At 39.8% G+C, this 8635-nt stretch overlaps 1 protein-coding gene across 14 annotated transcripts in view; it reads right to left on the reverse strand.

The window, feature by feature from the left end:
* The window catches only part of SGMS1 (sphingomyelin synthase 1), a 319585-nt gene that overhangs the window by 63722 nt on the left and 247228 nt on the right, over positions 1-8635 (reverse strand). The gene's annotated exons all lie outside the window — the stretch shown is intronic.

Genomic DNA, 8635 nt, shown 5'->3' on the forward strand with positions numbered 1-8635 from the left:
ACCCTGTCTCTACAAAAAATTTAAAAATTGGCCCAGTGTGATGGCACATGCTTATGGTCCCAGCTACTTGGTAGGCTGAGGCAGGAGGATCCCTTGAGCCTGGGAAGTTGAGGCTGCAGTGAGCCATGTTTGTGCCACTGCACTCTATTCTGGGTGACAGAGTGAGACTCTGTCTGAAAAAGTAAAATAAAAATAAAAATTACAAATAGGTCAATCACATACATATGCCAAAAAAAAAAAGCAAACAAAAAATCCCATCAACAAATGTGGAGGAAAAAAGTTCAATCTCACTAGTTACAAAAAAATGAAAGACATATTAAAACAACAGCAAGATGCCATTCTTTAGCTATCAAGATGGCAAAGATGAAAAAGGGCTGCACTGAAAAGAACCAGTTTCAACAAAGATCCAAGTTCTGCCAATTCTACCTCTTAAGTATATCATAAATCCATCTACAGTCATGTGTCACTTCACGACGAGATACCTTCTAAGAAATGCATCATTAGGTGATTTTGTCATGGTGTGAACATCACAGAAAATGTATCTGGACAAACCTAGATGGTGTAACCTATTACATACCTAGGCTGTATGGTATAGCCTATTGCTTCTAGATTAAAAACTTGTACAGCATTCTACTGTACTGATTATTGTAAGCAACTGTAACATAATGGTAAGCTTTGTGTATCTAAATGCAGAAAAGGTACTGTAAAAATATGGTATAAATAATAAAAATTGGACACCTATAAAGGGCACTTACCATGAATGGAGCTCGCAGGACTGGAAGTTGCTCTGGGTGAGTCAGTGAGTAAAGTGGTGGGTGAGTATGAAGGCCTAGGACATTACTGTACACTACTGCAGACTGTCAACACTGCACACTTAGGGTACACTGAATTTATTTAAAAGTTTTTCTTTCTTCAATAATAAATTAACTTTATCTTACTGTAACATTTTACCTTATAAATTTTCTAATTTTTAAAATGTTTTGACTCCTTTGTAATAACACTTAGCTTAAAACACAAACGCATTATACAGCTGTATAAAAACATTTTCTTTATATCCTTATTCTATAGGCTTTTTTCTATTTTTTAAATTTTAATTTTTTTTTTACTTAAAAAATTTTTTTTTTTTAAACAAAGACACAAGCCAGGCATGGTGGCTCACACCTGTAATCTCAGCACTTTGGGAGCCTGAGGTGGGCTGATCATGAGGTCAAGAGATTGAGACCAGCCTGGCCAACATGGTGAAACCCTGTCTCTACTAAAAATACAAAAATTAGCTGGGTGTGGTGGTGCATGCCTGTAATCCCAGCTACTCAGGAGTCTGAGGCAGGAGAATCACTTGAACCCAGGAGGCAACGTTTGCAGTGAGCCGAGATCGTGCCACTGTACTCCAGTCTGGCGACAGAGCGAGACTCCATCTCAATAAAAAAAAAAAAAAAGACACAAACATACACATTAGCCTAGGCCTGCACAGGGTCAGGATCATCAATATTACTGTTTTCCACCTTCCACATCTTGTCCCACCAGAAGGTCTTCGGGGCAATAACATGCATGAAGCTGTCATCTCCTGTGATAATGATGCCTTCCGGAATTCCTCCTGAAGGACTTGCTTTATAGTTAACTTTTTAAAATACATAAGTAGAAGGAGCACATTCTAAAATAATGATAAAAGGTACACCATAGCAAATACATAAACCATTAACAGAGCCAAATACTATCATTATCAAGTGTTATGTAAGGTACATAATTATATATGCTATGCTTTTATACGGATGGCAGTGCAGTAGGTTTGTTTAGACCAGCATCATCACAAATGTGAGTAATGTGTTGCACTAGGATGTTAGGACAGCTATTACACCAGTAGGCTATATAGGTTTTTTCATCTGTGTTATAATCATTTGGGACCACCATTGTACAGATAATTTGTCATTGACCAAAATGTCGTTATGCCACGCATGACTCTCCTTTCCATTGTAACCACCATGGTTCAGGTGGCATTACATTTCATCAGAATTACTGCCAAAGCTTCCTCAATACTGCTCCCGTACACACCCTATCCCATCCAAACCCAAACTGCACAAGGCAGCAAGAGAACTTTTAAAACTGTGTAATTCTCATCTTTGAATTATTGCAGTAACTTCCCACTGTTCTTAAAATAAAACCCACACTTCATTATTTCATATTGTACAAGACCATTCCTGCCTTTGTATGGTGGAGTTCTACAACTGCACACTATACTTCAATTACTTTGGACTACTTGTAGTTCCTACCTCACAGACTTTGAACATGCTATTGTCTCCACCTAGAACACCTCCACCCTATGTTTCACATGATGGGCTTCCAGTCAATATTCAGGCCTCCACTCCCATGTCGTCTCTTCAAATAAGCCTTCTCTGAGCATCCTCTCTGACTTAGTACATTCTGTGCTGCTGTAACAGAATTGAAGGCTAGGAAGTTCAATCTCAAGGGACTGGCATCTAGTGAGGGCCCTCTTGCTACGTCATCCCATGGTGGAAGGCAAAAGGGCAAAGAGGGGGTGAGCTCATCCTTTTATATAAGGGAACCATTCCTGTGATAATGGCATTAATCCATTCATGAAGGAAGAGCCCTCCTGTTTGAACCACTTCTTAAAGGTCACACCTCAGAACACATTGCATTCAGGATTAAGTTTCCAACACGTGAACTCTGGGGAACACATTCAAACCACCGCACTCTTATCTATATAATCTTACTTGCTGAATGTCTTTCTGCCTTACCAGAATCAAAGCTCCATAAGGGAAGGTCCCTTGGTTGTATTTTTCATTATTGTATTCCCAGGAGCTAGCACGGTGCCCGGCACATGCTAGGCAGTCAATATAAATACGTTTCATGAACAACAAAAAGCGAATACTAGAGAAAGAAGGTGGCCAACTACGTTTGATCATAACATACTTATTAAATCTAGATTCTTCACAGTATGAGACCTATTATATTAACTTCCTTAAAACTTACTTTTCCCCAAATATAAAAAAGAACAAACCTATAAACTGGAGATTTCATCAAAGAAAATTAATTTTTAAAAATAAGTAATCTCTTAAAAAACACAGCTAATAGGCCGGGCACACGGTGGCTCACGCCTGTAATCCCAGCACTTTGGGAGGCCGGGGAGGGTGGATCACGAGGTCAGGAGATCAAGACCATCCTGGCTAACATGGTGAAACGCCATCTCTACGAAAAATATAAAAAATTAGCCGGGTATGGTGGCAGACGCCTGTAGTCCCAGCTACTCGGAGGCTGAGGCAGGAGAAAGGCGTGAACCCAGGAGGTGGAGCTTGCAGTGAGCCCAGATCATGCCACTGCACTCCAGCCCGGGTGACAGAGCAAGACTCTGTCTCAAAAAAAAACAAAAAACACACACAGCTAAGATTTTTACATGGGAAAGTATATACCTCCTTTAATCATACCATTTCTTTTTGAGATTTGCTCAAGGAGGAGAAAAAATCAGTGAGCCCTACTGGCCTTGGTAAAAAATTTCTTAAATATATAAAGGGAATCAGTCAACCTTAAGAGAAGGTCCAGAGAGGTTCCTAATTTTTTTATTCTTTGCTATAAGAAAAGGAAACTTAAATCCAAAGTCAATGCTATAATATAAAAAAAATATTCAAAACATTATTTCACATTTGTACAATGATAAAATAGTTGACTTTTTTCTTCAGATTGTATATATAGCCATCTTCCACATAAAATTTAGCCTTCATTCTTTTCAAAGCTATCAAAATCCTCCTCAGCAGTATATTTAATCAGATTTCTAAGGGTATCATCATAGGAAATACAACCTAAACACAGGCCCTTATAGATGTTTCCCAAAAGCTTTTGAAAGTATGATAATTTCCACATCCTTTACAGATGAGTTGTTCATTAATTTGTATGAGCAACTGAGACACTGGTAGGAATAATAAGATAATACAGGCACATCTGAGCAACACAGTATCAGGATGGCATGTCCTTAATTATTCCTTCCCAAACAGGTCCTACGCACTAAAATAGAACTGCAGGCATCACTGTCCTAAGTTGTCTTAACGCCCTGATCATGGAATGTTCAATTTTTCAAAATTCTGGATGCATTAATACCCAAACCATTTGATGAAAAGTCAGTTTCATATATGATGAGAGCATTATGTGATCATAACCTGAGACAGTGGCATGGCTCATTAAAAGCTTTTCAAGATTTTGTCAAATGATCTAAAGATGTAAACTGTAAGATCAAACAATTTAACTTTCAAATGTCACAGGTTACTTCAGTATAAAAGACAAATAAGGAACAAGGAAAAATACGGATTTAATTTGTAAAAGAACAAAACGTCAGTCATAAAGATAAAAACTGGAAAAATGACTAAGAGCGGCAATTATGTATTAATACCACATTGGGAGAAAAAGATTCTGTCAGTACAAGAGGTAAAAATCTAGCACCTAGAAATACCCAACAATGGCTTCTAAAATTATTTCTGGAAACTACTTTCTTACCATAAAATAACCATTAGCAGTCCCATAGGTATCTATTCCACATCTTGACCATGTGCTACTCCTATGGTAGAGGAGTCAAACTATCCACATAATATTAAGAAGCTAAGTACACATTATATAGACATCCTGTTCATTATAAGAATTTGATCAGCATTCAGAGAACAGATTATGAAAGCACTCTGGCAAAGGCATAGCCACATCAATTGCACTGAAGACACAGCTGAAATTTATCTTCTATTTATAAACCTAATGAGCTTTTCTCTTTGGCACAAAGCAGGCCAGCACTAAGCAGCTAATGACTGATTATATTAATATATATTTACAAAAGCCAAATCACTGAATCAAAATAAAATCAAACATTTACTAAGCACCTACTATGCACAAAGCATTGTCCTGGGCATTCAGTGAACCACAAAGAAACATACACCATGGTTGCTGCCTAACTAGGTTAAAACGTCCAAAACCAAATTCCTGCTCTTCTCCTCCAAGCCAACTCCTCCTGCATGCCTTCTTCAGCTTAGTAAATTGCAATTCCATTCTGTCATTTGCTCTGGCAAAGACTCCCAGCTGGTGAGTACATATGAGAGTGCACTCTCTCCAATCTGTGCTCCCCCCACCCCCACCCCCATTATCTAATCTATTAGAGCAATCCTATCAGCTTTATCTTCCAAATATATCCAGAAACCAATCACCTCTAACACTGTGTGGTCTGTTTCTACCCTTGCCTCTTTAAAATCACTTCTATGCTCAAAACCCTTTGTGCTGGATCTCACTCCAAGTAAAAAAACCAAACCTCTTTCTTACTAGGCTCCATAAGGTCCCAAGTGATCTGGTTCCTGCTACCTTCCTGACCTCATCCTCTTCCCTCCTCTTAAGAATCCTCACTCATCCAGCCTCTCCCCACTTGCCCATTCTCACTTCAACCACTCTGGCCACTGTTTCTCTAATATGCCTACTATGCTCTACCTGAGTCTTTGCACTTGAGGGCCCTTCTTCTGGAATATTCTTCCCCAGATATCCTCATAGCTCACTCCTTTGCCTACTTCAAGCCTCTGTTCAAATATCCTTAATATCAACTGAATGTCCCTTGACCACAACCTTTCATACTCTGTATTTTACTTGTTTAATGCCTTCGCAGCCCGAGGCAGGTGAAAAGTAAGATAATCTAGGATTGAGGATGGGGATAACAGAATTTGCAGAACTCAGGACAGAGGGAACAAGAAATTCTAGGGCTGTGGTCAAGACTATTAAAAAAACTGTGACCACAGGTTAGGTTAGGGAGCCTGGGCAACCAAGCAGAAAGAAGTAAGGAAGTGGGATTAGGTAATTTCCTGGAGCTTGAAAGGAGAACAGGTTTGGTGGCTGTCTTGAGGGACTGGTGATGACTACAACATAAGAGGTGGGAAGGCAGACAAGGTAGAGATTTCTGGGCTAGAACAACCTAAGAGACAAAAAGATTTAAGGGTGTGACTGGTGCTTGTTAGTCTAGTCACAGAACATTGAGCACATGGATTTGTAAAATGGGTCATGGTTGAGAACACAGAAGGCATCAAACTTGATGTAGAGAGGAGGAATTTTTAAGAGTCAGGCATTACCTTGTAGCAGGCATGGCTCATGATAGCTATCAACTGGAGTGGATTCAAATAAAGACAGGGGGTGAGAGCACTGTAATTTATTAGTTGGCCAAGGCACAAATCTTGAGAAGGAGGGTTTGGCCACCATGGGAGAAATGATCAGGGGACAAGCTGTTTTGCAGAGTGGGACACATTTCTTTCAAGACAGAATGGAAGAGAGAGGAGTCAGGTGGTATCAGATTGAGAAGGGCTTGTCCTTGTAGCTTCACAGCCTGGCTGAAGTTCCACACAGACGTGAAAGATCGGAAGTAGTATAGATGGCAGAAGGCAAACACTAGTGTGCCCAGATTAAATTATTTGATCACATGTGGAAGTGTACAGACCTCAAAACAGCAAAGCATACAAGATGTATGTAAAGACTTAGAATGATATGAAAATAAAAATAACCCTTTTTTCCCTAACTAGTTTTCCTCACATTTTTTTAAGAGATGGGGTCTCACTATGATGTCCAGGCTAGACTCAAACTCCTGGATTCAAGCAATTCTCCTGCCTCAGCCTCCGGAGTAGCTAAGACTACAAGTGAGTACTACTGCAGCCGGCATTTGTTTATTTTTACTTTTTTACTCTTATAAGTCAAAGGTTTGGTCTCATGCTTTTATTTCTTCTAATTAAAAGGTAGATTTGCTGGGCAAAATCCAAGAAATGCAAAACAAATTTGTTTTTAAGAGGTGAAAGCACTTTCACATGGCAGTTAACAATGTACCACAAGCCATGTCTTCAGAGGGGGGTATGTTCGCTGTGGTGTGGGGATAGAGGATATACACTAAAATGCACAAAAGACCACAAACAGAAATACAGGATTTTTGTTTTGAAGTGAATTACCTGTCACCAGTCCCTAAAGATGTGCCTTACTCTTGCTGGTTTCACCTTAACAGACATCTTCTTACAATTAGGAACCAGAGAGTCCCTCGACCTCCCGGCTGAGTTAGATAGGGCAACTGATTCTTTAAAGAGATTCCCCCAGATTCTATCAATGAGCATTTTTTTTAAATTATACTTTAAGTTCTAGGGTACATGTGCACAACGTGCAGATTTGTTACATATGTATACACGTGCCATGTTGGTGTGCTGCACCCATTAACTCATCATTTACATTAGGTATTTCTCCTAATGCTATCCCTCCCTGCTCCCCCAACCCCACGATAGGCCCCAGTGTGTGATGTTCCCCTTCCTGTGTTCAAGTGTTCTCATTGTTCAATTCCCACCTATGAGTGAGAACATGCGGTGTTTGGTTTTTTGGCCTTGCGATAGTTTGCTGAGAATGATGGTTTCCAGCTTCATCCATGTCCCTACAAAGGACATGAACTCATCTTTTCTTGTGGCTGCATAGTATTCCATGGTGTATATGTGCCACATTTTCTTAATCCAGTCTATCACTGATGGACATTTGGGTTGGTTCCAAGTCTTTGCTATTGTGAATAATGTCAATGGGCATTTTTTAAGATGGGCAGCTCTACAGAAACAATTTCCATGAAAAAAGGTTACTCATATCCAGAGTGAGCACAACATTAGACTAAGAAAGGCAGTAAGGAATTATCAGTTTAAGAACTTCTTGCAACAGTCTCCCTGGAAATGTTCTGATACATTCTACTTGCTGATTGTCTTAGCCTGTTTTCTGTTGCTAGAACAGAATATCTGAGACTAGGTAGTTAACAAAGAAAAAAAGTTTATTTTGGTTCATGATTCTGGAAACTGGGAAGTCCAAGCTCAGGCAGCTACATCTGGTTGGTTTCCGGTGAGGGCCTCATGCTGCATCAAAACATGTCAGAAGGCATCTCAGGGTGAGATGACTCACAAGAGAGAGCCAAACTGGCTTTTATAACGGATCCACTTTCATGATAACTAACCCACTCCCATGATAACCCATTCACCCATTAATCTATTAATTAATGAATGGGTTACTCCATTCATAAGGGCAGAGTCCTCATAACTCAATCACTTCTTAGAGGGCCCATCTCTCAATACTGTTACACTGGGAATTATCTTTCAACAAGAATTTTGGAGGGGACAAACATTCAAACTATAGCACTGATGGAAGATGTTTTCATCATGTCTTCTAATCTTTAGATGTATGCCTTTTATTACAGTAGTCACTTCTTTTCTGGTACGCCATACTTCTCAGCTAATGAGATTTTGGACTCTATCTTGAACTGCAATGGGTTGAGATTTGGGGGACCTCAGAATGATACATTAGTTTCCTGCGGCTGCTGTAACAAATAACCACAAACTGGGGGGCTTTAAACAGAAATGCATTATCAGTCTGGAGGCCAGAAGTCTGAAATCAAAGTATTAGCAGGGACATACTCCCTCTGGAGGCCCTGGGAAAGAATTTGTTCCTTGCTTCTCAATCATCTGGTGGCTACTGGCATTCCGTGGCATTCTTCGATTTGTGGCCACATCACTCCTATCTCTGCCTTCACCTTCACATTGCCTTCCCTTCATGTCAAATCTCCCTCTGCCCCTGTCTTATAAGGATACATATGATTGCATTTAGGGCTTAC

This window comes from Homo sapiens, chromosome 10 (assembly GCF_000001405.40).
Source record: "Homo sapiens chromosome 10, GRCh38.p14 Primary Assembly".
Lineage (NCBI taxonomy): Eukaryota > Metazoa > Chordata > Mammalia > Primates > Hominidae > Homo > Homo sapiens.